Raw genomic sequence first — 13,389 nt, 5'->3', positions numbered from 1 at the left:
ACTACACGAGGTGATGGATATGCTAATTTGCTTGATTGGGGTAATCATTTCACAATGTATACATACATCAAGACATCACTATGTGCTCCATAAATATATGCAATTTTTATTTGTCAATCTTACCTCAATAAAGCTGGAGGGAACTAAAACAAAAATAAAGGCATATGCAGTTTTTTAAACAAAGTAAGATACATCCTCTTTCTTAGGTAACAAATGTTGAGATTTTCCCATCAAGCCTTTGGACAAACTCATGCATTGAAAAAGTCAGCCCATCATCTCAAGAGAAGGTTATGGGTCAAATGTTGAAGTAGGTTCTTGGCTTCCGACCAAGTCATAGTTAGGAGATGAGGCTTATTTTCTTTCTTTAAAATCTGTCTTGGGACCATGAAATGGAAACCAAGCTTGAAGGTGAGGAGGGCCCAGGGTCCCTCCTCCATGAGCTTGAGAATGCTATGAGCACTCCCCAAACTCAGTGCTTGTGTCTAGTCCTTCTGAGGGATACGGTCTCCCCGGGATTGAGGAAAACCACGGGAAAGTGTGCCCTCCCTCCATCAAACCAACCAAAGAGAAAAGAGCAAACACACTGAAGTAGCTACCACCTGCCTCCAAACATGGTGAACTCCCATTCATTCTTGCCCCCCTTGGCTCCCATCCTCCTCCACACTGAGCTTTTCCTGCTGCTAGTTAAATGGAAGCCATTTAGGCACAAATGTGCTTCCACGTTACTGTTGTCCCAGAAAAATCTTTCTCTCACATGATCACAAATCAAACTATTACTTTATCTTCCAGTAAACTCTGTATCTATGGCCATGTGATTCCTAGTCTCTTTTTCTTATCACTGAATGCAACTAGGCTCCAAAAGCTCTCTGGTGCAGAGCAGGCACTACAGTTCCCAATTTACACGTGGAAGAGTCCAGAGGCACGCCTGGGGTCCCAAAGCTACTCAGTGGATGAGCTGAGACATATTGAGATACAGCTGTGGCCAAAAAGCTAGACAGTAGCTCAAGGACAGGCAGAAAGCAGATAGATGTTCAGAGATTCAAAGAAAGAGAAAGGCATGGAGATTCTGAGGGACACAGAGACAGACACAGGAGAGAAAGATTCAGCGTAAAGACTAGAATGGCCTTTATTCAGAGTAAAGAACCTGAAGGCAGGTCTGAGCATCAAAACCCATTGATAGCATGCTGTTGGGCCATTTCCACCTCTCAGTTTCCCCCTGTGCAACTGCTGGGACTAGATCAAGGATGATGAATAAGTTTCATTTTGTGTGCCAACTCCAATCTGTCAGTAGTCACTTAAGCACTGTATTGAAAGGATCTGAGGCTACACCTGGGCTTATAGAGAAAGACTATAGTGATGGATTAGCAATGTCTGCCATTGATGTGGGCGAGGAGAATTACAACACACATGCCAGGTGTTGTCTGTCTCTGAAGTAGATTGCCTCTAAATTCAAATTTCAGCTCTGACATTCAATGATTCCATGCCACCATGACAAAAATGCAAGATCTTTTCACTAGACCAAGTTTTTCTCTAAAATTGCGGCTATTACCTGTCATCACTGGGTATGAAGAAAAAATATATACTACAAGGAATATTTAAAGAGGGAACATTTGTGGTTTTTCTTCTTTTCTCCCAGAGCTTCTAGAAATATGAACATTTTAGAGAGCTGGAGGCTGTTTTTTGCATCCCTTGGAGAGATGGAAGAAGGCAGACAGCTGGAAAAATTTAGGACAGTTGTAAATTATTTAGGACCCTTTGCTTTACTTGTATTTTCCAAAAGAACACAGGCACCAAGCTTTCAGCTGCATTCACCCTGCTCACTCAATAAGAAATATGGAAGCTTAGGCTGTGAAAATGAAATAACCACAGCGTGTGCTCGGAAACATCTGAAAGCTGGAGTTTCATGATTTGTGTTTTACAGTACAGGTAATCTGTCCTCCAGGAGCTGAAATCTATGAAGGAAGAGGGATGGTTGGCGAGGAGTTCAGACTCATGTTGTTTAGAGGATGGTGGTCTTTGGAAACAGAATTCTCCAGCCTGGAGTTTGGTACAAGTTTGCCTCTAGGGCTCTCACTCTCCTACAGTTTATAACAGAGGCAACTCTACAATGAGATGCTCTGGGCTGAAATATTTAGATTTTAAATATTTCAGAAATCTGCTCATTTCTTTCTGCCTCTTTCTGTTCTGGATGAAGTCCTCATCATTTTTCACCCAGATTCCTCCTAAGGTCTCTTATCTCCTTTCTTTATCTTTTCTTTGACTTTCTGTCCTATCAGCATCACTGCAGTCAGAGTGATCTTTTCAAAATGTACACCTAAGTGTTGCTCCTGCTTAAAATTTCTCAAGGACTCCTTCTACCTCCAGATAAAATCCAAGGTGCTGAAAACATCCTGAGAGATCTGACCCCTACCTATGACTTTAGACCCACACTTAATATGCTGCTAACACCAGCCCAGTTCAGCTTCCTACACACTGTGCTCTTTCTTGTCTTCATTCCTTTGCTCCTGTTGCTTCTCCTGAAATGGCTGATCCATGGCTGTCTGCCTGGCTAACTCTTTAGCTCTCCATTTTGCTGCCTTTTGCATACTTCTGCTGTTCCATATATACCTTATTTTGCTATAATCATGGATTTGTCTCTCTACTCTTCCATATAGGAGCTCCTTGGGTATGGGAGCCACATTCTAGTGATCTGTAATTTCTGCCATATGATTATGTGCCAGGAATCCTCCAAATCTTTGTTGAATAAAATGAGTGGATAAATGAATGAATACAATGAAAGTGCCTACCTCATACAAGGTTCTTATTCTTTAGCAAATTTACCCAGAGGAAGTTCTAGTGTATCTTTAAAGGATTAAAACAAAGTCAACTTGAAATTGAAAATGGGTTATACTGATAGCCTACCTATTCCTTCTCTAATCTTCCCATTTTGAGTTATTAGAAGATTTAAAATGTTAGCACTCATTAATAATGATGATTTTTGTGGCAGAGAGAGGAGAAAATCTGGAAGCAGAAGCATAGTTTGATTCACCAATAATTGATGATAATTTTTAAATGCCGGCCTAACACATTTATTTATTATTATTTAAATTGCCTGCATATCTAAATTTATTTTAAGTTATGGGATCTCAGTCTTTGTCCAGATTTTTTCATTTTGTTATTCCTTGAATATTGTTTAACTACTCTATGTGTGTGTGGCAGATGAGAGATATTCCCTTGTGTCCCTTTTTGCAAAGGAAATATTGATATTTCATTTTGTAGAAGAAATTATATGATTATACAAAGACAATAAATGGATTTATCTGGTTTCAAATGCTACTGGAAAAAAATTGTTTCTGCCAGATTCTTGACATTTTCCTGTTCCAGAAGAAATTCCCACTTAGTCTAATTAGGTTTTCTCTTCTTTACTGGGTCTCCATCACTCAGTTTCCAGCTGGGTGATACATTAGACAGGGTTTTCTAATTACCTCTGTTTTGTAGCCTCCTTACCTGCAAGTGGCCGATGAATGCTTGCCCAAGCCGGGTTGCTGATCTCCACTGACCAGTGACCTAAACCTCCAATCTGTTTGTTCTCTCTCTTACCATTAGGGAATAAAGCACAGAGACCCACACCGTACATTGCAAAGAATATCACCAAATATAGGCTGCTCAAAGAATCAACATTCCGGAGGTAGGGTTTCATTTTTGAACTTTCTCTTCTCAAAGCCTCTTTGGCACAAGATTTCTCAATCAGGTCATCCCAGCCCACCAGCAGTTCTTCATGCTCCACCTTATAGAACCACTAGCTGACAGCTACTAACTGCTCCTCTCTTGAACACATCAGCAGCTCACAGGAATTTTCAACAACTAGAATAAGTGTATAATTTATCATCCAAATTAGGGCACTTTTGGAAGTTGAAGTGGACACTATTACAATTACAGCAGGAAACCAAGTATAAACCAGGACAGCCCCCATCAATAACCCTATCAATAACTGACCTAAGCAATTTTATATTCCTCTTGTTAACCCCTGTTCTTGCTGCTCAAGTCCAGTTGGTAGGCTTTGTGGTCACGTCCCATGAAACATGACCCAGTTCTTGCTATGACTCTCACTATTTGCTTCTATAGCATCCCAGATCCTCTAATCACAGAGGTCTCCTTCATCACAAATTCAGTGTTTTGTGTTCTCCCCTAGACTAAATGTTAGATGACAGCAGAAAGTGGGTCTTTCTTATGTCCCTAAAACCTAGCACAGTTCCTAGAATACAGTAGGCCTTTAATAAATACTTGTTTTGCTCTTGAATAGAAAGTACCTACCATGTAACATGGCTCACTCTTGGCTCAGTGAAGACCTCTAGATCATGGTGATAAAGATGATGACAATGTACCCATTCATTCATCAATTTATTTTTCCAGCCATTTAAATAAATATTTATTGAGCACCTATTATATACCAGCCACTATATCTTCATGTGTGTGTAAACTAAGGGGTATTTGGTGTCTGTAACCTTGTTTTACATTCTCTTCTAAAGTGAATCAGCTGATATCCTGTCTATCTTCTCCCTTTCCATTTCTAAGTTTTCATTTTCCCTTTGCTGTTTTTGCTACCCAAAACACTATGCCTGTTTTCTAGTTATAAAGGTTATGTATATATTTTAACTCGGTCAGCAGATTTTGATCCTGATAAACCACAATGGGATAATATGATAGACTAAACCTAGACAGTCACAATTAATTCATAAACAGACTTAATTTAATTTCCCTTCTCCAATAAACCCAATTTACCTCAGTGGAGGTGTGACACGTTTGATTAGACACAGTGATGCTGAGAGCAGCTAGCCTTACAGAGAAAGGGCTGTGTGTGCAGAGCGATAAGAGATCAAAGCTGAGTAGATTCCTCGGCTGCGTGCTTAGTTGTAATTCTGCAGAACCTCCAGTTCAGTTGTCCCTTGGTTGCTCTTTAATTGGAGAGATAATTACGCTGGGAGGGGGTGGAGAAGAGGAGCCAGGGTCAATCCTTACTTAGCATCGGAATTACAGAGAGAGAAAAGACTAGTTCAAGGAAATAATCTTCCTAATTCTTGAATGCTAAACTCCAAGTCAAAGCGGTCAGAATTCAGTTCCCTTGGAGTCCTGCTGCGGAGAAAAGGATGGTGCTTCAAAGAGACATTTTTCTCAAGAGCGTTTAGACACTGAGCATTGTTAATGCAATTTCAATTTGTAATTGTACTATGCAAATTATTTTTTTAATTGAACAAGTGTTGATTAGGTACCTATATAATACATGGGGCACAGAGGGTTTGACCACAGTTTGGACCTACTCTGGATGTTGAGAGAAGAAAAATTAATAAGACACACCAGTTATTTGATTCATTCTCAAAAATTTAGGAGGTTGAGGGTCGCAGCTGGATTTCTTCTCTCCAATCATCATTGGTGAATTTCTTCCAAAAACCTTTAGATATTTGAGCACTTATTCTCTGTGGGGGTGTTTTAATCTTTAGTATTAATCCCATGACATGATCAAGATAGCTGACTCTGTATTTTAATTTCTTGCTTCTGCCCTGAGCTATGCAAACTTAGGCAAGCTACTGAACCTCTCTGAGCCTCAGTTATCTGCTCCAGACAAATGAGGATAATGACCTGCCAAAAGCAGATCAAATGACACAAGTAACAAAAAGTACCACTTCATATGTACTCAATAGAACGTAGTGCCTTTCTTTTCCAGGCATTGCTACAATGCTAACTTGCCAGGCCCTCATGTACTGCCCATGGAAATATTTCAGACAATTTCCAGATTAAGCAAGGAAGCATCACAATCAGGGGTCTGAAAATGATAGCAGGAAAAAGAAAGAAAAAAAAAACACCTCTTAATTGTGACTTTGTTGAACAGAACTGAATTTTAATTAAGCAACATGACGGGAGACACCATGCATTTCCGAGCAATTATGGAGGACCACAGGGGTGCTGTAAAATCCCAGCCTGAAGATTGAGTGGCTTTAGAAGTTTACCAACTCCCACTGAAACACAGAGCCCAGGATGTCTTGTTCCCAACAGGGAGTGTTATTTGTCAATGAAAATAAGAGAGAACCCTGGCAGCAAGACCAAGAGGGTCATCAGGGGGAAAAGTTGAATTCTTTTGTCTGAACAGAATGATCCAGAGCTTTTTCCATCTGGTGCTGAGAAAAAGCTCCTGATCCTGATGGATGGGTTTTAATATCTTGTCTGCAGTCAGCTCCACCCATGTCAGCACCAAGACCAGCAGCAAAAACAGAGCAGGTCGCGTGCAAGGAGGGATGGAAGAGCTGGAAAGCTAAGGCTGTCAGTGGCATAGTCAGTTTGCTAGCCTATTCTAAAAGTAACTCCTCCTGCACTTTGTTTCTTGCTACACTTACATCTAACTGCCTGTTTGCTAGAAAATTCCAAAGCCTGGCCAGGCACAGTGGCTCATGCCTATAATCCCAGCACTTTGGGAGGCTGAGGCAGGTGGATCACCTGAGGTCAGGAGTTCGAGACCAGCCTGGCCAACACGGTGAAACCCTGTCTCTACTAAAAATACAGAAAATTAGCTGGGTGTGGTGTCAGGCACCTGTAATCCCAGCTATTTGGGAGGTTGAGGCAGGAGAATCACTTGAACCTGGCAGGCAGAGGTTGCAGTGAGCTTTTGCAAGCCATTGCACTCCACCCTGAGCAACAAAAGTGAAAGTCCATTTCAAAAATAATAAATAAATAAAAGGAAAATTCCAAAGACCAATCTTAAAACAATCCAGGCATGAAGCAGAGATGACAGTTGCAATTTTCTCCCTTCTGAGAAGAAATCTGTGTGCCGTTAATCCATAACCCAATCCCTGCCGAGATGATGTCAACCGAGCCTCTGGATGGTCTATTACTCAAGGGAGACATCAGGCCAGGCGTGATGGCTCACGCCTGTAATCCCAGCATTTTGGGAGGCCAAGGTGGATGAATCACTTGAGATCAGGAGTTTGATACCACCCTGGCCAACATGGCGAAACTCTGTCTCTACTAAAACTACAAAAATAAGCCGGTCATGGCGGCACATGCCTGTAATCCCAGCTACTCAGGAGGCTGAGGTAGAAGAATCGCTTGAACCTGGGAGGCAGAGGTTGCAGTGAGCTGAGATTACACCACCGCACTCTAGCCTGGACGACAGAGCGAGACTCCGTCTAAAAAAAAAAAAAAAGAGCCCTCAGAAAATGACAAGCAAACCTACACCCCATGCCACTCCTGCTGAGAGTTTTCCTGCCACATATCCCCTTAACACCTCTATAGCCAGCCTGAGAATTTGAGACTTAAGTCTGGCCATCTCCCAACCTGCTAACACTTGAATAGTCCAAACTGCTTTCCTTCCACCAAACCCCGTTTCCTGTGTGTCTGCCTGTTCGAGTAGAGAGCAGCCCAATCTGAGTTCAGTCACAAGGCTGTCTGGGAGTCTAGGATAGTGAATCAGTAGAGGATATGGATGGAGCAGAGGAATGGGCAAACCCAGAACGGGTCCAGAATCTGGCAACGGAGGCAAAGTTAGGAACCAGGCATAAGTTCGCGAGTGGGAATGCAGATGATATTTCACTGTCCATTCATCTCCTCAGAATGATGCCTGCCTATGTGCCACGCATTGTGCTGAGTTCTTTATATAAATAAAATGAAGTGAGGCTCATTATACCCATTTAACAGAAATAGAAACTGAGGCTCAGAGAGAGGAAATATATCAATTTGTGAATTTCTCCAAAGTTATACAGCTAGTAACTGAAGAGTGAGGATTTCCACCCAAGCGTTTGATTCAAAACCTACAACCATGATCATTGTTATTATGAAATATAATCCATGCCTTCAGTGAAATCCAAAATTCAGAGGAGACTGTTTCAAAAGGAAGGCAAACTGAGGTCAGAGTGTATACAAAGAGTGAGGATGAAGTTGCCACTTCGATCAGGATCCAAAAAGTATGGCTAAATTTTTAAAGAGTGTTTAAATAGCCATGTAAGGCTAAAGATGGCATTCCGGACCATTCAGATGGTCCAGAATGCTCGAGTGTTGTCTGAGTAGGAGGAGTTAGGATCAGGCAAGGAGACCAACCAGCCAGGAGAAGCTTCACATTGTGTCTACTCTTTGCCTCAGCCTGGGAGTGCTGTATTCTCCCTGCTGAGAAGGAGCCTATCCTCGGGGTTTTTTTTCTCTTTTTTTTTTTTTGAGACGGAGTCTCGCTCTATCGCCCAAGCTGGAGTGCAGCGGCTCCATCTCGGCTCACTGCAAACTCCGCCTCCCGGGTTCACACCCTTCTCCTGCCTCAGCCTCCCGAGTAGCTGGGACTACAGACACCTGCCACCACGCCCGGCTAATTTTTTGTATTTTTAGCAGAGACGGGGTTTCACCGTGTTAGCCAGGATGGTCTCGATCTCTTGACCTCTTGATCTGCCCACTTCAGCCTCCTAAAGTGCTGGGATTACAGGCGTGAGCCACCACACCCGGCCTCCTCAGGGTTTTTTAACTACTCCCTGGAGTGCTTCTTTGCCTTGTCTATCCAGATAATTCTTCCTGATTCAAAAGCAGAGATGGAAAACCAGCAACCCACAGCACCTTGCAGCTGGAATTATTTAGCCAGTACACTGTTCTTTTTTTTTTTTCTTGAGACAGAGTCTCTCTCTGTCGCCCAGGCTGGAGTGCAGTGGAGCAACCTCGGTTTACTGCAACCTCCGCCTCCCAGGTTCAAGCGATTCTCCTGCCTCAGCGTCCCAAGTAGCTGGGATTACAGGCTCCTGCCACCGCACTGAGCTAATTTTTTGGATTTTTAGTAGAGACAGAGTTTCACCGTGTTAACCAGGATGGTCTCGATCTCCTGACCTCGTGATCCACCCACCTCGGCCTCCCAAAGTGCTGGGATTACAGGCATGAGCCACCACGCCCAGGCCCAATGTTCTTTAAAGCTTTAATCTGCATGCCCTTTGGAAAATACAGGTGTTCTCCAGTTGCATGAGGCATTCCCACTCCCTATTATCCTGTATCTGATCACTTTAAGTATTCATTTTTCCATCTTGGTTCCTGGAAACATCTAAGTTAGTAAGTCCAGTTTAAGGTACCCCCACCTCCATGAAGGTGCCTGTGATCACCCAATCAGAACCACATGCTGGCCTCCGCGTGCCCCCAGCACTTTGTACCGCACTCTGTCATAGAGTTCATCCCACCGCCCTTAAGCTTGTAGGTTTGTCTCCCGTATTAGACTGTGAGTGTGCGGGACAAGCTCCTAGCCTAGTTTATGTCTCCAGAACTCAGCGTAATTTGTGGAACTCAGAAGTGGCTCACTAAATGTCTGGTCAATGGATGAGTATATGGGCCTTGGAGAATTTCCCTGCCTAAGTGCAAAATTGTGAGACCCAGAGACAGGACGATTTTGGAGATGGCAACTCATTGGCTGTTCTCATAGAAATCTATACAGCCAGTGCTATTTTCAGCCCAAGACTAAGAGTTTGGACCTCAGATAATTGCCCTCTTGCTGTAAATATGCTGCTGATTACGGTAGAGAGTCCATCATTTAGCACAGGGGCTCATGGCTGGAGCCATTGACAATGGCGGACAAGCTGATGGGAGCCAATCTGGAACTTTCTCTATTCCCAGCTTCTTCTTGCAGACTGTGTAAGAGTCCACTAGAGGGGCCAGAATAAAATACCGCAGACTGGGTGGCTAAAGCAACAAAAATTTATTTTCTAACAAATCTGGAAGTTAGATATTTGAGCCCCAGGTGTTAGCAAGTTTGGTTTCTTCAGAGGCCCCTCTCCTTGGCCTGTAGATGTTCACCTTCTCATTGTGTCTTCATATGGGCTTTCTTCTGTGTGTGCACGTGTCTGTGTCCAAATTATCCCTTCTAATGAAGACAACAGTTTTTTTGTGTTTTTCCTTCCCAGTACTACCTTCTTTGAGACATCAGTTGTATTGTATTAGGGCTCACTTTAAAGACCTCACTTTAACTTAATTATCTCTTTAAAGAACTTATCTTCAAACACAGTCACATTCTGAGGTACTGGAAATTAGGACTTGAACATATGAATTTTAAGGGTACAAAACTGAGCCCCTAACACAGTGAGTATTGTTGCTGGCATTCAGCTTACATAAGCCCAGGAGGAAGATCCAGTTATATCACTTGCGTGCACACGGCCATCAGAAAATCATATAAATTAGATTAATATAGAAGTTGTATATAGATTAAGTCATCTAAATTAGATTAATATAGAAACTGTATATAGATTAAATCATCTAAATTAGATTAACATAGAAAGTGTGGGCCAAGCATGATGGCTCACACCTATGATCCCAGCAGTTTGGGAGGCTGAGTCGGGCAGATCCCTTGAGGTCAGGAGTTCGAGACCAGCTTGGAAAATATGGTGAAATCCCGTCTCTACTAAAAATACAAAAATTAGCTGGGTATGGTGGCACATGCCTGTAATCCCAGCTACTCGGGAGGCTGAGGTGAGAGAATTGCTTGAGCCCAGGAGGCGGAGGTTGCAGTGAGCTGAGACTGGGCCACTGCACTCCTGCCTAGGTGACAGAGTGAGACTCTGTGTTGAAAGAAGGAAGGAAGGAAGGAAAGGAAGGAAGGAAGGAAGAAGGAAGGAGAAGGAAGGAGGGGACAGAGAGAAAGAGAGAGAGAAAGAGAGAGAAAGAAAGAAAGAAAGAAAAGAAAGAAAAGAAAAGAAAAGAAAAGAAAAGAAAAGAAAGAAAATGTGGAAGTTATACACACGGCAGTAAGTGATACAGGTAGGAAGATGTAGTGAAAAGTAACCTTGGGCCAGGCGCAGTGGCTCATGCCTGTAACCCCAGTACTTTGGGAGGCCGAGGTGGATTGCCTGAGGTTGGGAGTTCAAGACCAGCCTGAACAACATGGAGAAACTCCACCTCTACTAAAAATACAAAAATTAGCCAGGCATGGTAGTGCATGCCTGTAATCCCAACTACTCAGGAGGCTGAGGCAGGAGAATCCCTTGAACCCAGGAGGCGGAGGTTGCAGTGAGCCAAGATCATGCCATTGCACTCCAGCTTGGGCAACAGAGCAAGACTCCATCTCAAAAAAAAAAAAAAAAAAAAAAAAGTAACCTTGGACGACCAACCAGAACACTTGAGATTGAGCCCAGGGGTACACAATAACTGTGTGAACTTTGACATGTTGATTAGCCTGTATGGGATATGTAGTGGGATGGTGAGGGAGAGCCACCAAAGACATAAAGTCCAATTCAAAATAGCAGAAAAAGGGATCTTGCTGACCTATGTCACAGAAAAGAAAAACAGGGGTAAATTGAGCTTCAGATATGCCTTGATCCAAGTTCTTGGGTGGCATCAATAGAAATGTTTCTTTTCATCTGTTGGCTCTGCTTTTCTTGGTGTTGACTTCATTCTCCGATGGGTTCTCTTCAATTGATTGCCCCTAGAAACCCCAGGCTTACATATCCCTGAACTCAATCCAGCCAAGAAGAGAAGTCCTTCCTCCTCATAGCCCCAGAAGTCATGAGATTACCTCTGATGCATATTTTGGATTACAAAGTTACATCTGGAGCTGGAGGTTAAGTCAGCTCACCTTGAACTTCACAGAGAAACTCTAGGCTTTGTCTTTGGTTCTCTTTGCTCTGTCTACAATTCTTCCTTAGGTGATTTCATCTAGTCCCACAGCTTTAAATAGCATCGATATCTGGAAGACTCTCAGTATATACCTGTAGCTCTGACCTGTCTCCTGAACTCCAGACTTGTGTATGGAACTGTCTCCTACACAAATTTGTGCTTACATGTCTATTATTCATCTCAAATTTTAATTTTTTAAAATGGTATATTTGGGTTGCAGCCCCATTCTTCTCTGAGTCTTCCCCATTTCATTAAATGGCACCACCATCCACCTAATTGTTCAAGGCAAAATCTGAGAGATCACCTTGATGTCTTTCTACCTCTACATTCCAAGTCCAATCCACCAGCAAGTTCTTTTAGCTCCTCCTTCAAAATACCTCTTACATCTCACTTTGCAGTATCCTCCCAACTGAACTCCTGGCAAAAAACTCCTCTTTTGCTTCCTATAGTTTCTTCTCCACATAGTAGCTTGAGTAATCTTTAAAAAATATAAATCTCCCTGCTACCCAAAACCCTCCAATGGCATACATGCCATTCAGAATAAGATCCAAATTCCAGCTGGGCACGGTGGCTCACGCCTATAAACCCAGCAATTTGGGAGGCTGAGGTGGGTGGGTCACTTGAGGCCAGGAGTTCAAGACCAACCCAGCCAATACAGTGAAACCCAGTCTCTACTAAAAATACTAAAAATTAGCCAGGTGTGGTGGTGCACACCTGTAATCCTAGCTACTTGGGAGGCTGAGGCATGAGAATCTCTTGAACCTGGGAGGCAGAGGTTACAGTGAGCCGAGATTGAGATCAAACCACTGCACTCCAGCCTTGGTGACAGAGGTAGACTCTGTCCCAAAAGATAAATAAATAAATAAGATCTAAATTCCTTTCTGAGACCCACAAGATCCTACATGATACAGATCCTTTTTTTTTTTTTTTTTTTTTTTTTTTTTTTTTTTTTTTTTTTTTGAGATAGAGTCTTGCTCTGTGGCCCAGGCTGGAGTGCAGTGGCGCAATCTCCACTCACTGCAAGCTCCGCCTCCCAGGTTCACACCATTCTCCTGCCTCAGCCTCCTCAGTAGCTGGGATTACAGGTGCCCACCACCACGCCCGGCTAATATTTTTTGTATTTTTTAGTACAGACGGGGTTTCACCGTGTTAGCCAGGATGGTCTCGATCTCCCGACCTCGTGATCCGCCCACCTTGGCCTCCCAAAGTGCTGGGATTACAGACGTGAGCCACTGTGCCCGGCCCAGATCCCACTTTTATCTCTCTGCTCTCATCTTATTCCACTCACCCTTCTTCATTCTTGCTCAGCAACACTGAACATCTTACAATTTCTTGAAAATGCCGAGCTTGCTGCCACCACAGGGATCCACACTTGCTTTGCTCTCTACCTGGAATGTTCATCCCTAGAACTATCCCTTACTTTATTCAGTTTTCCAAATCAGTGAATTTCCTCAGTGAAAATTCCCCAACACATATTCCTTTTCTCCAGTCTTCCCCAGTCAAATTCTACGCTTTACCTACTTTAATGTTCTTGATAAGATTGATCACTTCCATAAATTATATATTTATTTCCTGTCTTCCCCACCATCATAGATTCCATGGGGACAGGGATCTTATCTGTCTGGCTCACACTATATCCCTAATACTGATGATAGTACCAAGCATATCACAGGGCCTCAGCAAACATTTGTTGAAGGAAAGACTGAGGATGGGTAGTTATCTTTTGAAAAAAAAATTATGGTGATTATATTGGAAGAAGGAGAAATGAATGTTAGGGAGATACTGGCCACACTCTAT

General features: G+C 42.8%; 1 long non-coding RNA gene across 22 annotated transcripts in view, besides 1 other annotated feature; it reads right to left on the bottom strand.

Annotated features, from left to right (window-relative positions):
* LINC01643 (long intergenic non-protein coding RNA 1643) overlaps positions 1-13,389 on the bottom strand; it is a 201,365-nt gene that overhangs the window by 52,244 nt on the left and 135,732 nt on the right. For 13 of the 22 annotated variants that reach the window (NR_183602.1, NR_183600.1, NR_183601.1 and 10 more), the window contains one exon: positions 4,762-4,957. The exons of the other annotated variants lie outside the window; for them this stretch is intronic. This is a non-coding gene — a long non-coding RNA (long intergenic non-protein coding RNA 1643). The remainder of the gene's footprint in view (positions 1-4,761; positions 4,958-13,389) is intronic. 22 annotated transcript variants of the gene reach the window in all.
* Positions 5,550-6,307: an enhancer, noted in NCBI's record as "OCT4-NANOG hESC enhancer chr22:34556235-34556992 (GRCh37/hg19 assembly coordinates)". NCBI's record gives its function as "activates a minimal SCP1, AML or CMV promoter by ChIP-STARR-seq in naive and primed H9 embryonic stem cells {active_cell/tissue: H9 hESC(naive and primed)}" and the evidence as "EXISTENCE:reporter gene assay evidence [ECO:0000049][PMID:30033119]".

Source organism: Homo sapiens, chromosome 22, assembly GCF_000001405.40.
Source record: "Homo sapiens chromosome 22, GRCh38.p14 Primary Assembly".
NCBI classification, from domain to species: domain Eukaryota; kingdom Metazoa; phylum Chordata; class Mammalia; order Primates; family Hominidae; genus Homo; species Homo sapiens.
This window is presented reverse-complemented; position numbering and strand designations above follow the sequence as displayed.